This window comes from Homo sapiens, chromosome 2 (genome assembly GCF_000001405.40).
Source record: "Homo sapiens chromosome 2, GRCh38.p14 Primary Assembly".
In the NCBI taxonomy this organism is placed as follows: Eukaryota; Metazoa; Chordata; class Mammalia; order Primates; family Hominidae; genus Homo; species Homo sapiens.
Genome location: NC_000002.12, coordinates 176,503,037 through 176,527,117, shown reverse-complemented (window position 1 = coordinate 176,527,117; position 24,081 = coordinate 176,503,037). Strand labels below are relative to the sequence as shown.

The window sequence follows — 24,081 nt, the reverse complement described above, 5'->3', positions numbered from 1 at the left end:
GCTTGGTGAACAAGCTGCCTTTTAGTTTGGCTGAGTCCATGAATTGCAATTAACCACTTAGCTGCCTCTTGATGCATGCTGCATTTCCAATAGCTCAGTGATGTAGGAGAATATCACATTGGGCTCCTGCCCAGCCCTAACCTGAGAAAGGAGAGCAGAAGCAACGGGTGAGTGTCGACTGAAGAAAAGAGGTCAAACCTGGGACATTTCTGTATGAAAGGAGCCAGAAAGCCAACGTGATATCTGTCTCTTCCTCCTTTTACTATTTATGTCGTGCAGCAAGTTCATCAGTTATTCTCAAATAGTAAGGAGGGAAGCAAGAATAAATACAAAAATTTAATGAAGATAAGTAATTTCCTTAAGGTAATATTATTCTATTGCATTTTATGAGAAAATACAAGTATTATGCCAAGAAACAGAGTAGTTCACATCCCTTGGGCCCTCCTTCACGGTAATTAAATACTTTTTAAAAGCTAATAATTTATTAGTTTTTTTTTAATTAAGCATCTAACAAATTTAAAAATTAGGTTTAGGCTGGGCACGGTGGCTCACGCCTGTAATCCCAGCACTTTGGGAGGCCGAGGTGGGCAGATCACGAGGTCAGGAGATTGAGACCATCCTGGCTAACAGGGTGAAACCCCCTCTCTACTAAAAATACAAAAAATCAGCCGGGCATGGTGGTGGGCTCCTGTAGTCCCAGCTACTCAGGAGGCTGAGACAGGAGAATGGCGTGAACCCGGGAGGCAGAGCTTGCAGTTAGCAGAGATCATGCCACTGAACTCCAGCCTGGGCGGCAGAGCAAGACTCCGTCTCAAAAAATAAATAAATAAATAAATTAGGTTTAATAAATCTAATATTATTGGGAAGAAGAAATTGCAAGGAATGGAAGAAACGTTTCTTAGAACTTATAATTTGTTTTTGTTGTTTACAAATTTATCATTCTACATTAATTGAGCTCCAACTGTGCATCAGGCACTGTCCTAGAGCCTGTGGAGGGTATAAAGATAGAAGACCCAGCTGCTGCTCTCAAAGGGCAAACAGCCACATAAGAAAGACAAGGCATAGCACCTCAAAATGTTAATAACAATATAAGCAATAATATATATGATGGCATGTAGTAAGTTGCCAAACTAATGGTTCAGAAAGAAGCACCATGGGTTCTCAGGGTAGAGAAAGCAGGGGGAGCTTCCTAAGGGAGGAAGTGTTTGTGCTGGACATTGAAGGCTGGGTAGAATATGGAAATGGGTAAGAGGAGGATCAAGCAGAGATTGAGCTATGCTCTGAACAAGTGCAGGTAGGCATTACAAGTGTTCAGAGGATGGAGCAGCATGGCTGTGCAGAGGTTTCTGGAGGTAACACAGGAAGGGTAACATTTGAAAGGAGATAGTGGCCAGATTGTATAGAACGTTGACAAGTGTGGAGGACCTTGGTTGAGGATCCCTAGTGTAGGAGAGAAAAGGTTACAAGTGAAAAGAGTCCAAAGCTCATAACCAAATATTTCAGGAATACGCACACTAAACATGTACTAGCAGTAACAGAAGTGGGATACTTCCAAAGGTACAAGAATTTTTTTTTTTTATAATGGTATCTCTATGGCATGTGACCATTTGAATGTGATGTCCGTTGTGATTTCTGTTTCTCTTCCTTGATATCCCAGATCCAAAATTGTTCTTCCATCGAAATACTCTAAATTCCTGACCCTTTGCCTTATTGACCCCATGCCAATAACATTTCAACTCCTTCTCTTTCCCTTTCCAGCATATCTTCTCCAGACAGCATTTCGCACTTGCATATCAGCTGCAGCCTTTCCAAAAGTTGGGGAAATCCTGCAAATAAGGAACATGGCATCTGATTCTTGGAATAACATTCTCTCTACACTCTTCCAGCTGCTGTGGATACATGTAATGACTGATTTTATTTAATAAGAAAGCTCAAAATATTTCCCAATTCAGAACATAACCCTGCATGCTGCTCCCTCTAGTCTAACCAGAAATCCCATTCTCCTCCTCCTCTAACTCAATAAACCAAATCTAATTGGAGAATAATTATAAAATACACTGATGTGCAATTTGTTTCACTTGCTCAATAATTAATTAATACACTACTTATGATTCAGAAGAGCTCTTAAGACACAGCACAAATTCCACTGGATGAAGGAGAATACCAAAGATATAAGCCAGGGGCAGCATCTTTACATAAGATGGGCCAAGAGAAAAAGATAAGAGGGAAAAGAAGACAAAATCTATTTGGGCTTTTTGAATCTATGACGGAATTTGTTTTTCCCCATTTGAGGATTCTCCTCTTGCCCTTTTCTACAAGTGAGGTAGATTATGTGTTTTGTTGATGAATTATCAGCAATACTCACACAGCTGAATCAAGCTAACAGATGGACTTTTTTATTTTTAAACTTTCTAACCATCAGATGCTTTCAGGAGAGAAAACAGTCCTAATCAATGAAATCCAGCTCCTATAAACTCTTAGTTGATTTGAGTATATACATCCTATGCTCATTTGGGCAATATACTACTCCTAGCCCCTTTTGCCTTCATACAATTGAATCTTGCAGTAGGAAATGCCTTAGATTTTTCCTTCATTGTTTCAAATGTGCAGTGCTTATAAATTGCTCTAAAGATTTCATGTAAAATAATTATAAAGCTATCTTCTTTTTCCTTTTGGAGACATGAGAATTAAAGTTAAATTGATTTCTTTGTAACTATTGCAATGAACAATTATTAAATGATCACTAAAACAACGAATTTTTAAAAATATATTTTTTCTTTCTGAACAATTGAACTTATTCCTCTTAACTGGGTACAAGATTCTGGTTGACACCAGGCAACAATCCACCAGTGCCTTTATAAATTAAAAGTCATTATATTTTATTTGAGTCCTTTCAGTTCTGTCTTATAAAATTGCCCTTTATCTTTAGAAGTCTAGTGAACTCTCCTTTATAGTACCAACCTTTGGGGAAGCTACAGTGTCTCTCACCTAATAGTGGTAGAACCTTAGGTCATCCAGGATGGTTGACGTCTCTATGGCCTCTTTTTCACTAGGATCCTGACAGCCTTTCTTTTAATCGCCCATTTCCCTTGGCAAGGCATGCTTAAAGCATTTGCCCAGATCAGGCTGGGTGTGCCCACATCAGAACGCTGTTTTCCTGGAGATCTTATGTTTGTGCAGCAACATGCCTTGCATTGGCAGGCCAGCCCCTCATATGACGAATGAGGACTCAAAATCTACAAGTTCAGCTAATTTCCAATCTAAGGCCTATACAAAGGAAATAGTAAATCCATCACAATATGCTTCTTTGCCGGTGTCTGCATGAGTACTGCTTTATGTTTTTATTGCTGTAAACACGAGATTGAAAAGTCAGTGGAGAACAACTGATCAATTACCTACCTATTGTCTGCAACAAAGTGTGTACTATGTTAAGTCACAGTGGTTTTAATCCACGTTTCTTTCATGCAAGGATGTTATGTAGAGATGCTAAAGGCTTTCTGTTCACATGCAGCATAGTTAACTTTTCAAATCTCTCTTCAGTGTGTCACTTAATCCTTTACATTGCATTAGAAATCTCCTGAACTTGGCAACAAGAACAGTCTTTATGCAAGCTTACTTTTTAGGAACATGAACCTATTTCAAGATTTTTTTTTCTTCTTTAAAAAAAATTCTTTTACACCCAAGAAATTTTTCTTACCAAAGAGAATTAGCCAAGCCAAATAGTCTGGACTTACCTTGTGTCAATTCGTAAAAGGAATTCTGATTAGAATTCATAAAAGGAATTTCATTTTATTATGTGAAGCCATATTGGACAAAGATCAGACAAACTTGCTTAAACAAATTACTATTTCAGGATTGAAGGAACTTCCAAACTACAGAAAACTGAAAGGAACAATTCCCTTCTCCCTTAACTCTTTAGCTAGGTTCTAAGCTTTATATCCTCAATGGTACTCTCATATTTCAGATTTTCTGTCTAGAGTTTGAAGGGAAATATTTCTACCTGTTTTTCTCATTCTATAGGAAACTCATCATGATACAGGATGTGTATGAATGTTTTTAATAAAGATGACTGTGGTAATAAGGCAAACAGATGCATTCAACATTAGAAAGCATCAAACAACATGATAGAACAGATTACAGACTTCCTACAGATTTTCATACAGTGAAGACTAAAATTTGCAATGAACATAGTGGTTGCTTCATAAATGTTTACTGATGGTAATAATACAGTTCACATAATGCAATGCTACTCAAACCTCTTTGTAAAATAGAATCTCCTCAAACCTCTTTGTAAAATAGAATCACATGGAGTGTGTTAAAAGTGCAGATTCCTGAGCCCATCCCCAGAAATGCTGATTCAGTAGGTGTAGAATAGGGCCCAGGAATCTGTAGTTTTCACCAACACCTCAGGTAATTTGGATGTAGATGGTGTGTGGGCCACACTTTGAAAAATACCATTATAGGGCATGAATTGTGAAGAAAGAATGATGTATTTCCAGTAAGCCAAGAAGCACTTTAGAAAGCAACATGGAGACAATTGCTCTCTGATGAGCAGAAGAAAGATTGCTAGTCTGGAAGGAAAGGGCATTCTGTTCATTTGTTTCTTCGCTCATGCCTTCATTCATTTGAACAAATCCCACTGAGCACCTATCACAAAGCACTTCTTTGCTTTCCAGGCCTGTGGCTGCTCTTTGAGGCCCATGCATAGAGATTAGCCCATGAGAAGGCCCATTGTCAGAAACAGAGTCATTGGGCGCAGGAAATTATTCTTTTTCTCCTCAAATTTCCCTTTCTTTGAGGCTGCTAGCCACTGTTCTTCAAGTATAGCCTCCTTGTTTCCAGAAAGATACCATACAAGTGCCCATGTTCTGTTCTCTGTTTTCAGCATTTTGATTTTACTTCCTGAAACCCCCTTTAATGCTGGAGGTTTAAATGACTGGCTGTGAGCTTGAGCCCACAATCATTTGACAGCAGGGTAGACTCTGTTGATGAGAGAGGTGGAGCATGGAAGCTGGTTTAATGCCAACTCGGGCACAGTGGGGGAAATTCCATATTGGAGGAGTTGACACTATTGTTCTCAACTTAGAGTTAGTTTTCTGCTCAGGATAAATTAATGACATCATATAATTCACTTTAAAAATGTTTATTTCCTAAAGCTAAAGGCCAATTAAATGTATTCTTTAAAATAAACAGCATCCCAAATTCCTTAGAATTATATGGAAATAAATCATATTTTATACCATCACATGTACTGCCTAGTATAGGGCTGAGATAAAACAGGATTCCTATAAAATCTCTAATATACAATTTTATTAATGAAAAATGGTGGAACATACGTTGTCAACCAGTATAGGAGAAGCAGAAAATGATCTCCTTGTTCTAAATCTGAAAGCCCTGATTTAATGCAGGGCCTTGCGGTAAGATTTAGTTGACTATCAGATGCTTGGGAACTGTCAACTCAGTTTAATATCTAGAGAAGTTCTATTTTCAGAGATGGTGAGACAGGTTTTTTCAGATGAAATCTCCTGCAGAAAAAAACTAAAAATATATAATAAAACATTAATTTAAAAAGTTTCACAAAAATGTCAACAAGCTGACAAAGCTGTAAGGAACTACCAGGCCCAAACCTAAGAGAAAGAGGGAAGCAAGAGAGGAAAGCAAGACCTGAGCACCACAGACGCTTTTATGCAGAAGACATCTGCTGAACTTTGTTGGTCTTATGCAGAGGTGGGCAGAAGTTAAGGCTCAGGGCCAATGCAAGAAGGAAGTCTGAGGAAAAAGTCCTTCCTCACATTAAATGGGGCCCAAAGACTACACCCTCAGAATAAGTATCAACCGTAAGTCAATTAGCCTCTAATACATCCAGAGGTAGAGAAAGGAAGGAAAGCGGGGAAAAAGAAAGAAAAAGTATCCATCTCTGAGACTTTATAGCCACAGGCCACCCCTGATGTGAATTTGCACCTGGGTTTGTTTTGCCTGGAGCTTCCAAGGAGCCTCAACTCCTGAACTTGTTTAAGGTGGTCGAGGATTAGTAATGCTCACAAGTGCCAGGCAGTAGCAAAACTTCTCTGGAGAAAGGCACCTTCATGATAGGCCCGAAAGACACTCACAAATAATTTTCAAAGGCAATGACTAGTACATGCATAAAACTTACTAAACACACAGAAACAAGGTACCTCGAGCAAATCTGTTATCTGCTGAGTAGCCCTAAGCTGTGCGCAACAGAAGGACGATCACTAGGAGAGGAGGGGACACCGTCCCAGCCCCACCAGGGCAGGTGTCTTTTAATACATCTACTATTTGTAGAAAAGTTTCTGCAGCTAAAAATGGTTAAACACTGCAGTGTCATGGAGCTGCAAATATTGGGATTTCTTAATTATGTGACTCATAGGTGCACCCAGTTTTCTGACAATTAGGAAGCCAAACAGAGTAAAAGTCATCAAATTCCTTCAGACAAGAACCTAATCTGCTTGGGAACAAACTATATGTTTAAGGAATTCAAAGAGCATGTAATTTTCTTTAGAATCTAAGAAAAAAACACAAACACTTGACAAGGGGAAAGATTTAGTATTTGGTCCATTTAAAAGGATAAAATTTTAAAAACTGAGGTGAGAAACAGGATCCCAGGTGATGAGGTCCGAGGCAACACAGGGAAGCAGCCCGTGGTCTCCTCGGAAGTTCTGTATGGCTGATATCATTAGTCCAACTGCTATTAATATAACCTGAATTCCTCAGTCCTCCTGATTTTGTTCATGTGTTTTAGATTTGAAAAATGTGTTCTGTCAGAATTATTTGCCCTTAATTTTTAAAATCGTGTGTTTTAGGGTCAATTTGATCTGCATGTTTTCTATTTTCTTATAATTAAACCAGCAAAATGTTCTTTAAAAACTATTTGATGTCCACAAAATCTTCTGAGGCCTTTCAACAAGCTTCTTTAAAGCATTTATATCCCACTTAAAAACAGAAGTTGCGGGCCGGGTGCGGTGGCTCACACCTGTAATCCCAGCACTTTGGGAGGCCAAGGCAGGTGGGATCACAAGGTCAGGAGATCAAGACCACCCTGGCAAACACGGTGAAACCCTGTCTCTACTAAAAAATACAAAAAACTAGCTGGACGTGGTAGTGGGCGCCTGTAGTCCCAGCTACTTGGGAGGCTGAGGCAGGAGAATGGTGTGAACCCGGGAGGCAGAGCTTGCAGTGAGCAGAGATCATGCCACTGCACTCCAGCCTGGGTGGCAGAGGGAGAGTCTGTCTCAAAACAAAAACAAAAGCAAAAACAGAAGTTGCACTGTGTCATGGGTGACCTAATGTAGAAACCAAGAATCCCCTTAAATTTCAAAAATCTTCACATCTGAATAATTTTTGAACTTGAAGAAAATGAGTTCACCCATTGCTAAACTCTGTGTTGCTCAAGAAGACATTTGGAGCAAAGATGAGTTCCATAAGAGGAAAAATCAGGGCTGTGATTTCAGCTAAGGCCCCTGAGGAATAGCTGGAAGCCTAGCTTGTTACATTGCTGTCTACAGAAACAAGGAAAAACTCAAATGTACCAAATATACATCAAATGTTTGACAGGACTAAAGAAATATCATGTCCATATGAAATAATATTCGTTCATGGCTTTAAGAAAACAATAGAATATAAATACATGGATTTCAGCACATCTAATTTGCGCTCTAGTCTAATGCTTTGTTCTTGGCAGCCCATGGAGAATTCTTAATAAATTTACCAACACTGAATAATTAATTCCTCATAAAGGGTAAATGAAATCTGTTGTTCTAACACTAACTGCCGTTACATAGAACTATAGCTTTGCGGTAACAGGGCCAGTGGGTGAAGAGGGTCTTTTGTAGATGGTCATATGGAAAGCAAGCCAGGAAAGTGAGCCTGGTTCTGTAGAAGACTCTCTACCCTGCTCTGCTGGCGTTGACAACAGTCCAGGAGCTGAGCAGCGCTGCAAGGGAAAGCTCTCCAGCCAGCCTCCAGGGTACATTCAGCAGGCATTTCCAGAGAACCTATAAATACCTCTGTCCTGAGCAGCTCCCAGCTCTTGGAGTATGAAGGCCTGTTATCACCAAGCATCAAATACAGAGCAGACAGGATGCAGGGGCTTCCCCAGCAGGGGAGCTGGCACACACGAGCTCTAAGGAAAAGGGATCTAAGTCCATTTCCTGCAATTGTTAGAGAAGGATGGCAGCCTGGCCCATGAGTAGGTTAGAGTCCTATGTGCATTACTGCTCTCATGTGATGGCGAAGATCCCAGTTTATCTGGGCCTTCTTCTACAGAGAAACCCTCTGCATAGGTGCCTAAAAGAATAAAAGTTTGATTTTTCTATTATAGTTAATAAAATAACTCATACTCATAGAGTGCTTCACAGTTTGTAAAGCCCTAACACCTGCATTAAATCTCATTGATAATGAGATAATGATTTTCTCATTGATAGTGTAGATTTTAATCACAACAATAATAGTAGCAATAACAAGCATTATTAGAACAAGTGAGTTTTAGCAAAGTTGCAGGACACAGAGTTGATAAATAAAAATTAATTGTATTTCTACATACTATCAACAAATAATTGGGACCTTTAAACAGCTTTATTAAGATATAATTGACAAATAATAAACTGTACATAAAGTGTACAATTTGGTAAGTTTTAGCATACATGTGTATACATATATATACATATACACACACATATATATGCACACCCATGAAGCCATCACTATAATAAAAAAATGGACATACCCATTATCCTTAAAAGTTTTCTTGTGTCCCTTGGTAATCCCTATCTGTTTTCCCTCTATACCCTTTTCCCGCCCCATTAAGACTCAAAGTTGTCTTGTAGCTCACTGATGCTCTATTCTTTTTAGTTTTTCAGTAAGTTTTCATCTCTGAGTTTCATTTTGGATGGGTGCTATATTTTCAAATTTACTTTTTTTAAATTTTATTTATTCATTTTTTTGAGACAGAGTCTTGCTCTGTCACCTAGGCTGGAGTGCAGTGGCGCAATCTCAGCTCACTGCAACCTCTGCCTCCCTGGCTCAAGTGATTCTCCTGTCTCAACCTCCCGCATAGCTGGGACTACACGCACACACCTCTACGCCCAGCGGAATTCCCTGAACTCCCATCTCTGTTTACTCAACTCAGGGCAACTGCTGGGCCCTGCCTGGGTTGCTGCTCCCTCTGCCATGACCTGGTGGTGAGCTGGGCTCTCCTCACTGTGCTGCATCACTCAGAAATCACTGTCTTTCAATACCTGATGTCCCATGACTTGAAATCCATTGTTTGATATATTCTGTTCAGCTTTTTAGCTGTTTCAGTTGAGGGGATAGATCCAATCCCTGTTTACTCCACTTTGGATGGAAGCAAAAGTTCTACAATTTGAATTTGAAATTGAAAAAAAAAATACTAATACAAAAACATCAAAAATATAAAACTCTGGCCAGGTGTGGTGGCTCACACCTGTAATCCCAGCAATTTGAGAAGGCAAGGTGGGTGGATTGCTTGAGCCAGGAGTCGGAGACCAGCCTGGGCATAGTGAAATGCAATCTCTACAAAAAATGCAAAAATTAGCCAGGTGTGGTGGCATGTGCCTATAGTCCCAGCTTCTTGGGAGGCTGAGGCAGGAGGATTAATTGAGCCTGGGAAGTCAAGGCTACTGTGAGTCGACATGGCACCACTGCACTCCAGCTCAAAATCTATGTATATAAAATCTTAGGAAAAAATGCAAAGTATGTAAAATTTTACACTGAAAATTATAATACATTTTTGACACAAATTAAAAGTGGACCTAAATAAATGGAGAGATGAACCGTGTTCATATATCAGAAGACACAATATTGTTAAGATATCAGTTCTCCCAAAATTGATCTATTGATTCAATGCAATTTCAATCAGACCCCAAGAGGTATCTTTGTAGAAACTGAAAAGCTGATTTTAAAACACATACAGAAATGCAAAAGAAGATGTAGAAAGTTAAATTATTCTGGAAAGAAGAACAAATTTGGAGGATTATGATAACCATTTTCAAGACACGTTATAAAACTATAGCTGGGCACAGTGGTGTGGACCCGTAGTCCTGGATACTTGAGATGCAGAGGCAGGAGGATTGCTTAAGCCTACAAGTTCAATGCCAGCCTGAGCAACACAGTGAGATTCCATCTAAAAAATAAAATTACACACACACACACAGACACACGCTACAGTAGTAAAAATGGTGTAGTATTGGTGTGAATATAAACATATAAATCAATGAGATAGACAGTCCAGAAATGGATCCTCATATCTATAGCCAACAGATTTTCAATAAAGGTGCCAAGAAAATTCAGTGTGGGAAAAGGTAGTCTTTTTCAATAAATGGTCCTGAAAAAATTGATCATCCATATGAAGAAAAACACTTAGACTCATACCTCATGCCATATACAAAAACTAACTCAAAATAGATCAAAGACTTAACTGTAATATCTAAAGCTATAAAACTACTAGAAGAAAACATAAGGGAAAATTGTTTTATTTTGGTTAGGAAAATATTTCTTAGATAGAACACACAAAAATAATGAACCACATAAAAAGTATGATAAATTGGTTTTTAAAAAATCAAAACTATAATAAAGAGCCTGACTCCATTTGGATGGTTGATTTTGACTGCTGAAATCTTTCAAGCCCCACCACTTCCCCTTCCCCTCTGCCCCACATCTGGGCTAGCTGATAAGAAAACCCAGGTGCACCTACCTTTGTTGCCAACGGGAAGTTCAAAATATGCAAGCCCTGGCTCTCATGCACAGGAACTCTCACCCCAACCTCATTCCCTAATCACAGTAAAAGCCAAGCCAAACTCTTTTCTTGCTTTCTCTCAAGCCATTTTTAAACCTGCTTAGGAGCCTGCCCTGCTCTCCCAAGAAAGTCTCATTCTGCAAGCCATAACTTTTTCATATATTCTTGGTGCATGTGTGGTATCACACATCTAAACCAACATCTAAACCAAAACTGGGGAGGGGATCCATCCTGCCTCTGTGGTATAACTACAATTAAAACTTTACAATTCAAAAGACACTGTTTACATTTCAAAAGAAAATAAAAAAGCAAGCCACAGACCAGGAAATTATATTGCAAAATCTCCATTTATATATCTAAAGAACATTTACCTAGAATATAAGAACTCTTACACCTCAATATAAGGAAACAACAAATCCATTTTACAAATAGGCAAAAGATTCAAACAGATTATTCACCCAAGAAACAATCATATGAAAAGATGCTGAACATCACTCATCATTAGGGAAATGTACATTAAAAGCACAATAAGATGTTACTTCCTATCTACTAGATTAACTAAAATTAGAAATACTGATAACACTGAGTGTTGCCAAAGATGTTGAGCAACTGGAAATTTCATATGCAGCTAGTGGAAATGCAAAATGGTGTGGCCATTTTAGAAAGTAGTTTAGAAGTTTCTTGTAAAATTAAACACAGACTTACCAGACAACTCAGCAATCCCACTTTTTCGTACTTACTCAATAAAAATGAAAACACATATTCATACAAAGACTTATGCTGAAATAATTATAGTAATTTGTTCATGATAGCCAAAAACTAGAAATCACACAAATGTCTATCAAGTGGTGAATGGAGAAACAAAATATTTATGTATCCACATAATGAAATAGTTCTCAGCAATAAAAAAGGAACTTACTGATACTGGCAACATCATGGATGACTATCAGAAGCACTGTGCCAAGTGAAAGAAGCTAGACACAAACAACTATACACTGCTTGATTCCATTTACAGTCGTGCATTCCATACTGATGATTTTGTCGTTGTGGGAACACCACAGAGCGCACTTACACAAACATAGATGGTACAGCCTACTACACACCTATGCCAAATAGTATAGCCTATTGCTCCTAGGTTACAAGCCTGTACAGCATATTACCGTACTGAATACTGGAGGCAATTGTAACATAATAAGTATTTGCATATCTAAACATATCCAAACATAGAAAAGGTACAGTAAAAATGTGGTGTAAAAGAAGAAAATAATAATACATCTGTATAGCGTACTTACCATGAATGGAGCTTGCAGGACCGGAAGGTGCTCTGGGTGAGTCAGTGAGTAAGTCATGAGTGAATGTGAGGGCCTAGGACATTACTGTAGTATACAGTATATGTAGTATATGTATACTGTAGTATACAGTATATGTAGTATACAGTATAATGTAGTATACAGTAGTATACTGTAGACTTTATGAACACTGTACACTTAGGCTACACTAAATTTATTTTAAAAATCTTTCTTCAATAATAAATTAACTTTAGCTTACTTCAACATTTTTACTTTATAAGCTTAAAATATTTTTTAACTTTTTGACTGTTTTGTAAAAACACTTAGCTTTAAACACAAACACATTGTACAGCTGTATGAAAACATTTTTTCTTTATATTCTTATTCTATAAGGTTTTTTCTATTTTTATTTATTTATTTTTTACTTTTTTGACAAAAACACAAATATACACATTAGTTTAGGCCAACACGGAGTTAGGATCATCAATATCTCTGTCTTCCACCTCTACATCTTATCCCACTGGAAGATTTTCAGGGTCAAAAACATGCAGGGACCTGTCATCTCGTATGATAATAATGCCTTCTTATGGAATGCCTCATGAAGGACTTGCCCGAGGCTGTTTTACAGTGAATGTGGGTGTTTTCTTTTAATAAATAAAAGGAGTATACTCTAAAATAATGACAAAAAGTACAGTATAGTAAATACTAAATGATAGAAATGTTTCGGCTCCGTTATAATCTGTCATAGAGGTGGCCCATCCTTGACTGAAATGTCTTCAGATGGCGCATGACTACATATAAAATTCTACAAAAAATGAAAGTGGGAGTAGGGAGGGAATTGCAATGGGATACAATAGAATATTTTGAGGTGGTGGCAATTTTCTATAATTTTCATTGTGGCGTCGGTTATATGGCTACATACATTTGTCAAAACACATTGAACTGTACCTTAAAATTGGCCCATTGTCAATGTAAATTATATCTCAATGAAAAATGTTAAGGTCAATTTCTCTTGTCTATTGACTGATAAAGCACTGCACTGGGCTCTTTAGATTATTTCTGTGTCACATACACTCATGCACCGTATAATGACGTTTCATCCAATGATGGCCCACATATACAGTGGTTGTCTCATAAGATTATAATGGAGCTAAAAAATTCCCATCACCTAGTATTTACTAGAATATACTTTTGTCATTATTTTAGAGTGTACTCCTTTGACTTTTAAGAAAGTGTTAACTGTAAAACAGCCTCAGGCAGGTCCTTCAGGAGCTATGAAGAAGGCGTTATCATCATAGATGACAGCTCCATGGGTGTTACTGCCCCTGAAGACCTTCCAGTGGGACAAGATGTGAAGGTGGAAGACAATGATATTGATGATTCTGACCCTGTGTCGGCCTAGACTAATGTATGTGTGTGTGTGTGTGTGTGTGTGTGTGTGTGTGTTTGTGTGTGTGTGTCTTTATTTTTAACTAAAAAGTTCAAAAAACCAACAACACATTTTTAACAGGAAAGAAGCTTATAGAATAAGAACGTAAAGAAAGAAAATATTTTTGTAAAGTGTACGATGTGTTTCTGTTTAAAGCTAAGTGTTATTACAAAAGAGCCAAAAAGTTTTTAAAATTTTTAAAGTTTATAAAGTAAAAAAGTTACAGTAAACTAAGGTTAATTTATTTTTGAAGAAAGTTTTTTATGAATTTAGTGTATCCTGGGTGTACAGTGTTTATGAAGCCTACAGCAGTGTACAGTAATGCCCTAGGCCCTCGTAGTCCCTCACTACTCACCAACTCATCCAGAGCAACTTCCAGTCCTGTGAACTTCATTCATGCTAAGTGCCCTGTACGAGTGTACCATCTTTTTTCTTTTACACCATATTTTTTACTGTACTTTTTCTATGTTTGGATATGTTTAGATATGCAACTACTTATGTTACAATTGCCTCCAGTATTCAGCATCCTGTACAGCTGTAGAGATTTGTAACCTAGGAGCGATAGGCTATATCATTTGGCCTAGGTGTGTAGTAGGCTATACCATCTAGGTTTGTAATAAGTACAATCTATGATGTTTGCACAATGACAAAATCATCTAAAGATGCATTTTTCAGAATGTATTGCTGTTGTTATGTGATGCAAGACTGTACATTATCTTACTTGATCTTTGCACAGATCCAGTATGGCTCTGTAGGGCAATTCTACAAAGATGGGCTTAGGGAGGCCAAGGGAATTGCCTAAGATCATGCTATCTGTAGGTAAGTTGCAAAGCTGGAATTTTTATTCTAGATTCAGCATTCTTTCACCTACAAAGCCTCTTTTTCCATGGAAATTCATATTTTTAAAACTTCCCTTAACATTTTCAACGTGCTGCCATCTTGGTTCCTTTGGACTACTCTGACAAAACACTATAGACTGGGTCCCTTTCCCAAAACATAAATTTATTTCTCATAGTTCTGGAGACTGGAAAGTCTAACATGTGTTCTGACAGATTATGTGCCTGGTAAGGTCCTGCCTTCTGGTTCATAGATGGTATCTTTTGGCTGCGTCCTTAAATAGCAGAAGGGGCAAACAAGCTCCTTTGGGATTATTTTACAAGGCCACTAATCCCACTCATGCCCTCATGACCTAATCACCTTCCAAAAGTCCCACCACCTAATACTATGCCTTGGGGCTTAGGATTTCAACATATGAATTTGGGAAAGGGCAATGCATACATTCAGATCATAGCAGTTGCTTTATACTACTTTAAGTAATCAAGAAAGAAGATACAGACCATCTCTTTTTTTTAACTATAGATCATTATAGAGGGCTTTATTATTCTGTATTGTGACCACCTTATTTAGCACCCACTTTATAATTTTAAGACAATTCTTCATCTCAATAGAGTAAACAGGTTATTCTCTTATAACTTGGCAATTAGCATTTTCTCACTGTTTGAGCACTTGGAAAAATTTAACTGTGAAGCTGAAGAAGAAAATGTCCCATTGTAGATTAGCTACAATGGAGTAAAAATGTTGTCTTTAATTCGGAATAAGCACTCTTTGTCACAGTTGGGCTGGAAAGGGGAGAGTATGCTGCCTCAGCCTTGCACTGTCCCACTTAACATTGACATGAAGGCCCAACAGAGTATTACCATGATGTGATGGTTAATACTGAGTGTCAACTTGATTGGTTTGAAAGATGCAAAGTATTGATCCTGGGTGTGTCTCTGAGGGTGCTGCCAAAGGAGATTAACATTTGAGTCAGTGGGCTGAGAAAGGCAGACCCACCCTTAATCTGGGTGGGCACCATCTATTCAGCTGCAAGTGCTGCCAGTATATAAAGCAGACAAAAAAACATGAAAAGGCTAGACTGGCTTAGCCTTTCAGCCTACATCTTTCTCCTGTGTTGGATGCTTCCTGCCCTCAAACATCAGACTCTAAGTTCTTCAGCTTTGGGACTCAGACTGCCTTCCTTGCTCCTCAGCCTGCCGATGACCTATTGTGGGACTTTGTGATCATGTGATTTATTACTACTTAATAAGTTCCCTATTATATATCTATCTATCCTATTAGTTCTGTCCCTCTAGAGAACCCTAATATACATGATGTCTTTGCAATATCTATAAGCCACTTATACTATTATTAATTTACTTTTCTCTTTAATTCTCCTACTTTCCGTATTTATTCTAATCATAAACAGTATTTATGAAATCAGATTTGTTAAGTTATATATGCTGATACACAGCAAAATAAATACATAACAAAATGTAAAAGGGGACTTTCCCTGTCATCTCAAAATTTTGGCTAAGTTTCAAAGCTTTTAAAAAGGAATGAGAAGTGCCCCAGTCATCTAAAGTAAGGTGCTAATAGGTGGCCAAGCTTGTCCTTTAGGACTACAAAGAGAAGGTTGAAGATTCATCAGGATGAGAATATCTCATTGGATTAGAGGATACTGTGGGTTCTTCCCCTTCTACTCTGAGCAAAGTAAGGGAGGTCCCAAGAAAACCACTCATGATGATCCTTGCCAGATGTGGACGCTGGCTTCTTACTCCCTAGCCAGATGCAAGCTCTGGGGAGCTAAGCTCCAGAGCATTTGTGAATTCTTGGGGGAAGCCCAAGTCACATCCCCTGGAGTCTTGGACAACCGAAGGCATCAGAGTACAAGAGGTTACTTGGTGCTTCCACCAGGCAGTAACACAAAGACAGGGCCAAGCAAGCTGCCCTTCTACAAATGGCAGATAGAGCAAGGTATGTGAGCTTCCATGAGCCACGGGCAATGCCCCAGAAAGGAGTGGGGTTAGAGCCATCTTGAAGGGATGCTACCCAAGATTCACCTGCTGAGGAGAGCAAAAGCAAATCCTGACAGAGAGGCTGATTGGGTGAAAGCATCTCCAAAGGGCCCGTAAAAATGCCCCCAGAGAAAACCAAGTTGGGCCTCTGTCCCGGGGAAGCCTCTGACAGCAAGTTTATACCAGTTCCAGGCAAGCCAGTCTTTCTGTTGTCCTCCAATCCCCCTCCCCTGGCCTTGACTCTGGGGATGTCAGTGGTAACACTATGAATTGGAGTCAGTGAATCAAGGAAAGCAAAATAAACCATCACTCTCTTTTCCTACTATTGGTCTTCAGAATCAAGGGTAAGGATTCAGATGGTGGAGGGCAAAAACTTTGAACTGGATGAAAGATTGAAATCTAGGTTTTCATTTGACTGGAGTTTTTAATACATGAGCATGAGACTGTTCAAATACCAAAAATGATTCAAAAAATTATGAAACTGGTCTAGACTATCATTCAGCAGCAGAACGGAGAGCTGTAAGAGTGCATGGGATACAGTAGGGGATGAAAACCATGCCATTTCTTGATTGTACCTCACGGCATTCAGCCCACTCAACACATTGTTAAAATTAAAAAATGTTCATTTATGTACTTAAAATCATGTCACATCCACCCCACTCCCAACCGATCACCTACATTTCATATTCCACACTTTAGGAAAGAATGAGTCACGCCACACTAGAATAACAGGACCATGGAGATGACAGCATTTCAGCATTGAGAAGGCCCTTGGCCGTTACCTATGTTAAGCATCAACTGGAATCACTTAGAGATAAGGATAAGATCCCAGAGATGGTAAATGACTTGCCCCAAACCATACAGCTACGTAAACCAGAATTCAAGCGTTGTGATCCTAGATCAAAGTGCTTTCCTGAATTCTACATTGTGTCCCTGGTTCACCATTGGCAGATTTTACTATTGTGTTAGAAATTCAATGATCAAATATATAAAATTTGTCTGCCAAGTTGTTTTACAAGAGAAAAAAACAAACTCTGAATTTTCCCAATTTAATTAATTCAATGTTAAAATTCTGGGAAATACTCCTCAGATTTCTACTCTATCTTTAGTAGTCTGCCAGGCCACTCACTTATGTCAGAGGCTGGGCTAGTAACACTATGAATAGGAGATTTGATGTGGAGCATTCATTAATTCAGCAAATGTTTATTAAACATCCTGGCAGGCCATGTGCTAGGCACGGGGAGTACAACAGAAACAAGTTAGAGTACTTGCCCTCCTGTTGTCCAACATTGACAGATGAGACGACAGACACATGCAACAAAGTGTTATGACTGCTCTGATGAGAGCCAAGAGACATCAGAACCAGTCTAAGGGGGCAAAGAGGGCTCCTGGAAGGCTTTACCTAAATTCACACATACACATACACATACACATACACACATACAGATATACACACATGAATGTGGTTCCCATCGGAGATCATGACTAACCAAAATGAAATCAAGACTTCCACTGGTTTGCATGGTTGGGTGAGCAAGAAAAAAAATCCTCTGACAGATCCCACATCTCACCCGGTGGGGCTCTAAATGTAGGCCCCTCCTACTCTCTCCCTACATGATGTAAAAGAAACCACACTGGGTTGTTCAAGAAAAACAATCTGCCTTGTAATTACATATCTTTCTGTGGCTTTGCAAACGAAGACACCAAAATGCACAGCTAAATTAGTCAGAGCCTGCAGTAGGCAGAATATGGCCCTCCAAAGATGTTCATGTACCAATCCCCAGAACCTTTGAATATGTTACCTTACATGGCAAGAGGGACTTTGCAGATGTTATGAAGGTTAAAGACCTTGAGATGGAAAGATTATCCTGGATTATACAGGTGGTCCCAATCTAATTACAAGGGTCCTTAAAAGTGACAGAGAAAATCAGAGAGTCAGAGGGAGACATGACAATGGAAAAAGTGTCAGAGAGATGCAACCTATCTGTCTTTGAAAACGGAGAAAGGGGTGGGGTGTGAACCAAGAAATATGGACAGTTTCTAGAAGCTGAAAAAGGCAGAGATTCTCCCCAAACTCTGCCAACACCTGATTTTAGACCAGTGAGACCCGCATTGAACTTCTGACCTGCAGAACTATAAGGTAATATATTTATGCTGTATAAGCAACTAACTCTGTGGTAACTTGTTACAACAGTGATAAGAAACTAGTAGAGAGTGGGTGATATCTCACTAGAATGAGTTAAAAGTGTGGTTGGGCAGTGGTTTCCAGAATTTGACTGGTGTCCTTATAAGAAGCAAGGATTGAGACACAGACAGTTTATGACATATAAATAGGCTAATGTCTAAGATGGCATCCAAACTATTTTCTTTGTGTGTGTATATGTTTGTGTGTGTTTAAATCTGAATTTTAGTTATTAAACAAATGTGATTTCATAGGCAGTAGGGGTTCCTTGAGAGAGAAGTGTAACGTTCTACAGATGAGGATGGTTGGCTGCAGAGTGTAGGAGAAATACACAATGAATATCATGTACCTCTTTTCCCACTGGGAAAACAGAGATGATGCCCAGCAGTGTATTGTGGGCCCTGAGAAGCCACAGGGAGCAATGGCCTGGAGGCAGGCCTGAGCACAAGAACCTATGCATTTATTCTCTTTTCAGTTATCTGTGCCACTGAGAACATACCTGAGGAGACAGATAGGTTACCGAGGCTATAAAAACCCGAGATATGTGGTGTGAGACTCATTACTTGCTTTTACTGTCCAAACAATGAGGAAGAGTAATTTGTAAGTATTCTTTTTACAGTGGTGTTGGAAAGGAATTCTTCTTCCTCATTCTTAGTGGTAAAAAGGCACCCATGAGGATAAGTGGGAATTGCATCATGAATTTTTCCTTTGTCCTCAGCAGGATCCTGCTTCTGCATTTGCTAAAAGTGCGATTTATGTGAAATGGACTCCTATGCTCTCTAAAAGTTCACCTACTGGCACAGATCAAACAATAATAGCTGTGTGATAAAATACTTCTGCCCTTATGATGTAATGGAACTGCTCTAAATGTAAATGCTTCAAAGTTCTTTTCCATCTTTGCTTTCCCCAAAGTACAAACAATTTGCCCTTTTATTTTATTTTCCTGCAGACTTGCTCTTTGTACCCCTCCTTGGTTTATGTTCCTGGTGATCGGGTGTTGGGTTTGAAGAACTTTATATAGTATCACAAATACCTAGAACTGATGAGGTCTTTAAGAGTTCATTGAATCCTTTGTTCATCTAATTTGGGGCTTCACCCAAGATAGCTGAGGTATAAGATGTTTACCATACTCCTAAAGATGCACTGGCTTGGAGACTGACTATTATGGGCTGAATTGAGTCTCGTCATCCCTCCAAGTTTATACGCTACAGTCCTAACTCCCCAGTAACTCAGAATATGACTGTATTATTTCATGATACAGTCTTTGAAGATCTAATTAACTTAAAATGAGACCATTAGGGTGACCGCTAATCTAATTTGACTGGTGTCCTTATAAGAAGTGAGGATTGAGGACAGGCATGGTGGCTCATGCTTGTAATCCCAGCACTTTGGGAGGCCGAGGTGGGTGGATCACTTGAGGCCAGGGGTTCGAGACCAGCCTGGCCAACATGGTGAAACACCGTCTCTACTAAAAATAAAATAAAAAAAAAATTAGCTGGGTGCGGTGGCGGGAGCCTGTAATCCCAGCTACTTGGGAGGCTAAGGCAGGAGAATCACTTGAACCCGGGAGGCAGAGATTGCAGTAAGCCAAGACCGTGCCACTGTACTCTAGCCTGGGCGACAGCAAGACTCCATCTTAAAAATAAAAGTGAGGATTGAGACACAAACAGGCACAACAGAGGGAAAACCATCCGAAGACAGAGGAAAAGACGGCCATCTACAAAACAAAAGGAGAGGCCTCAAAAGAAACCAACCCAGGTGACATCTTGATCTTGGGCTTCTAGCCTCCAGGATCATAAGAAAATAAATTTCTATTGTTTAAAACTGGGTGGTTTGCTCACAGCATTAGCAAAATGATAGGGAAACTAAAGCCATTAGTTTGTTTACTGTTAGGAGAATTCTCCTAGGTCTTATAAAAATATCACTAGCTCTAAATAGTGGACTTTTATTTTGTCTTTCATGGAAAGGTTAGCAAGTTCTTTAAAAATATCCTGAATATATTAAGGGAATGTGGAGTGTTATACATAGAAGGGGTATACAGACTACTATTTCAACTACTTCTTTTTTTTACAGATGAGGAAACTGAAAGCCAAAGAGATGAAATGACTCTTCCAAGGTCACCTGCAAGTTGGCAGCCAAGCAAAGATGTCCTGTGTCCAGGACACAGGTCCTGGACCCCTGGCTCTTTGCTTCCTTATATTAGAACAACTCGAAAAATTTCTAAAGAAACCAATGCTGGAAGGTATAACGAGAATCCAGTGAGTGGGGAGTGGAGTATGGGAGCATAGCTTACCAGGATATGGTAGTTATGGGTTCCAATTTTCCCTGATAATAAAAATTGTTCAATATTTTAAATTATTCCAGACCAAACAGTTGTGGGCTTATGTTTCATAATCAATTCAGAGGATTCCCTGGACTTTTAACAATCTACCATTATGTAATATGACTATTTCTCCCCTCTTGGAAGTTGGAAGGCATTTCAATGAATTTACCCTGCCATGATGTACCCCCTGATCGGGCACGTTGCTTTGCGTCCCCCAACATGCTTCCTTGCCTCTGATGCTCTCCCATATGCCCTCATCTGTCCCCCATCGCACTGACTTTTTGCCCCAGACTGTTTAGTCTCACAGTTATCTTTTTCTAGAAGCTCTTTGAAGGACAGAGTGCTACATAAACCATAAAGTAAAGAAAGATACAATTTCATTATCTTACTCTTTTTTCTCCCTTTTCATCTTTTTCTTACCAACCCTCCAATCTCTCACTTGGAGAAGTGGTGGCAGGGTTTATAAAGAAAACTCAAAGTGCTAAACTTCCTCACTCTTAAGTCCAGTTCTCTTTGTCATTGGAGCACATTCTATCCATTTTCCTGCACTCTGGTGACCACTAATGCCAGCCACTGGAAGCCAAAGCAAGGGCCAAATCAGGTGATGGTGTAGATGCCTGCAGAGGCTCAGTAACAACAGATGGAGGCCAAACCTGCAATTTAGGGGTGAGATGAAGCCCATTTAATAGAGCACAGAGGAGGGACCCTAGCTGAGCTGGACTGTGATTTCTCCAGTTATCAAGTAGACAGAATTGCCTATGTTAACCCTTTGACTTCCTAGGTTGAGTTTCTCAAAATGAGGTCTTTGGACAAGCTGCATCAGAATCACATAAGGGCTTAATAAAAATACAGATTCCTGAATCTCATTCCAGACTTATTATTTCAGCAGCTTGCCAAAATCAGGGGTCATAGCCTTTAGGATACTATCTTAGTGTCTTTGTGTTTCTTTTTTAAAAGTAGTAACATAGAAATTCTATAATATCAAGGGTCTTTGGCCAGTTATTTTACTACTCCCTTATTTTAAAATAAAGAATTATTTAGTGTTACTTTGATATTATTCAGGCCATTTTAGTTTAGGGGATCCTGCCTGTTTTTGACAAGTACTAAAAACGTTTATGAAATCAGAATCTGGGGGCTCAAGCCTTAGGGTCTGCATGTATGTTAAGCTCCTGTGTGAGTCTTACATTCACTACAATTGGAAAACTACTTCCTCTAGTTTTCTTTCTCAATCCTTTTGGTTGATATTTTGGGGAAAATGAAAGAAAGGGAGTGAGGGGAGGAAGGAAAGTTTATCCCCACTTTAGTCAACTAGGTTCAATTCGGTCCGTACTTGCCCTACTAAACAGATACGCTATCACTGCATTTTGCTCTACCTAGCATCCAACCTTTTGTCCTGTTTGAGGTGAACCATTCACCATATGTATATAGTATTCTTGGGATACAGTGCCCTGCTCCTCTGGATAGCTCAGGCAGAGAGGGCTTCTCTGGTCCCACCCCCTGGTAGTCAGGGCTTGAGCATGTGAGCATACTCAGCCATTTGATGCTTCCACCAGGATACTGACCCAGGGATAAGTGATGGGTTTATAGCTGTGGGAACAGCATCCAGCAGGAGCAGTGTGAACAGCTTGGCCAGATCACATTGCCTAACTCAACTGATAATGATACCATTTAATAATTAGATAATTTGGTATGACAGAAAGCCTTGAGCTAGTCATTGCAAAATTCTATCCTAACCCTGGCTCAGCCACTGGTGAGCTGCCTGACTCCAGGCAAGTGGCTTCATCCTTCCAGGACTTATGTGAATCATTTATAACAAGGAAAATCACTGTCCCTAAGCTGCTTAGTAGAATTGTAGTGAGATTCAGATTTTAAATATATGTGTGCTTTGTAAACTACAGAATACAACAGAAACGTTAGTGGAAAGTAAAATTTTTAATTTTATACTACTCTTACAGAAAAAAATTTCTACTTAGCAAGAGGTATTTTTTTAGAAAAAGATTCTTTTCTTGTGTGACTTTTTAAAGTAGCATTCAATTTGCTGATTTTTAACATCATGAGTTTTTATATTTTACTAAGTCCCTGTTGTTTCATCTCTTATCAAACAGGCAAATTCCCCAACGGAATAAAAGCATTAAACAAAATGCTGTACACACTATAGTAAAAGCCAATGGCTTTTCTCCTCCTGAAAAACAAACAAACAAAAAAGCCAAAAAACTTTACATCCATTTCCCAACAGCTGTTGCTTTTTAGAGAAACCAAATATTCTTGGAAAGGGCCACAGACATTCTGGATTCAAACCATTTATAAGCTTTGGAAATGTAACATGCAGTCAGCTTGCCAGTTTTAATCTTGTACTTCCATTAAACACACCACAACTGCATCATAAAACAGAAAAGGGAAGAATTTATAAACAAATAAAACAGTTATTTGGGGCAATAAAATAGCAGTTCCCTCCCAAGTGTGGAATTGGTGTGTCTCAACCCACAGAACTCTGAAATCTGTTCTTCAGGGGTCTAGCAACTGCAAGAAACAAATATAAATCAGAGATTTCAGGAGTACTCCTGGGTCCACTATTCTTAGCTCCACATCCATGTCCTCAGCCCCCTCTGAACTCTCACTTTGCATTGGCTACAAAAAAATTGTTCCAGGGAGATGACCAGTTCCGAGCCCATTAGTCTCCTGATCTCTGTTCTATAGCCAGGGTTCTGATCAAAAAACAAAAAGCTAGAAGATCCATAGTTATGGCTTTGTCTGCAACAGAACAGTTAGTGGAGGGATAGAGAATTTTCTCAGATGTGCTTCTCTTTCATGAGGTGTACCCATCTGAGAATTAGGCAGGCACAGACCTATCTGTGCTGGCCTTCTCATGCACTGGTGAGGAAAGAGCAGGCTTTGCAGCTACAGGAACCAGGTTGAAATCCTGCCATTGCCTTGTGCTTGCTTTATGATCACAGAAGCAAAAGCAGGATCTTTATTCTGAGTTTTATTCATTCACCAGATCTTTATTAAGCACCAACTACATGCCAGGTGCTGATCTTTAAGTTTTTTAGCAGTTGAATGTTGATACTAAGTCCAGACCTCAGAGGGCTGTTGTGACAATCAAATGAAAATATATATGTATGTATGTATATGTGTGTGTGCATGTATGTGTATAAGATATGTATGTGTACCCTAGCACATGCTATGTTCTCACAAGTATTCACTCCATTAAAGCAGCAGATAAGAATAAGCAGTAAATGTGTTAGAAGAA

At 39.1% G+C, this 24,081-nt stretch overlaps 1 long non-coding RNA gene across 1 annotated transcript; it reads left to right on the top strand.

Moving 5' to 3' along the window:
• Positions 1 to 19,415: 19,415 nt before the first annotated feature.
• NRAL (NRF2 regulation associated lncRNA) lies at positions 19,416 to 20,873 on the top strand. Its single transcript, NR_186236.1, has 2 exons — positions 19,416 to 19,618; positions 20,582 to 20,873. It is a non-coding gene; the product is annotated as an NRF2 regulation associated lncRNA (long non-coding RNA).
• The last annotated feature ends 3,208 nt before the right edge of the window (positions 20,874 to 24,081 follow it).